The sequence below is a fragment of the Homo sapiens genome, chromosome 11, assembly GCF_000001405.40.
Source record: "Homo sapiens chromosome 11, GRCh38.p14 Primary Assembly".
NCBI classification, from domain to species: Eukaryota; Metazoa; Chordata; class Mammalia; order Primates; family Hominidae; genus Homo; species Homo sapiens.
The window spans coordinates 15,948,101-15,948,995 of NC_000011.10; the positions used below are offsets into that span (position 1 = coordinate 15,948,101).

General features: G+C 48.5%; 1 annotated feature.

Annotated features, from left to right (window-relative positions):
• Positions 348-497: a silencer, noted in NCBI's record as "fragment chr11:15969994-15970143 (GRCh37/hg19 assembly coordinates)". NCBI's record gives its function as "represses an EF-1alpha promoter that drives an FKBP-Casp9 reporter gene in an ReSE screen in HepG2 liver carcinoma cells {active_cell/tissue: HepG2}" and the evidence as "EXISTENCE:reporter gene assay evidence [ECO:0000049][PMID:32094911]".

The following is an 895-nucleotide window of genomic DNA, read 5'->3' on the forward strand; positions in this document are numbered from 1 at the left end:
TTTATTTTTACTCTCCTTCCGCAAAAGCCGCTATTACAATCAATGGCCTATTGGAGTCGATATTCATCCACCTTGTTTACTCAGGACTCCTGCCATCACCAGCTCACCCCACACGCATGCCTATTGCTTGCCTTGGCTCACTCATGCTTGCTTCCCAGATCCCTGACTCCAGGCTCTACTGACCTTCAGTCCCACCCTCCCCCACCTAGGCCTCCGTCAGTTTACTTTCTGATTCATCAGCCTTTACTGGCTGCTCAACCCCCAGCTTACCTGTCCACCTTCCCACTTTGCCCAACCTCTTGGCCTTTAGGTGAGCCGCATCTGGGAACCCAGTCCAGACAGATCAGGCTCTCCCCATGGACGATGGGGGCACTCAGACACTGGCCACTGCCTATACATATGGCAGGGAGGCCTTGGTGGGAAAAGTTCTTCCCAAAGGTTTCTTTTTGCTTTCTCTATTCACCTGTTTTAGAAAGTTCCAGCAAGAGATTCAGGCTGGGCAGTTTCTTATGCACTCATCCCCCCAGAAGCCTGGTGTTCCCTTCATATCTCACTGAGCTCCTGATATACCTGCTCCTGTGGACTCCCGTGTTCCGACAGAGCCTGTACAAGAGGAATACCATCCAAGAAAAATATTTTGGAGCCTTTGTAATTCATGGGCCCCACTGAATTTTCATAGAATGGGGGAACAGATTCTTAAAGGAAAGGTTAGAAATATGAACATCTCCTTGTTTAATTCATCGTATTCCAATCCAGCCCCATAGCATGTCTTTGGGATTAATGAGTAGAAACCAGCTTTCAAAGAGCTGTTGGCACCTGCTCCATCTGCCTTGATATTGAAAATTGGGCCATCACAGGGATACAAGGATAGAATTAGGGGGCAGGTAGCATTGAG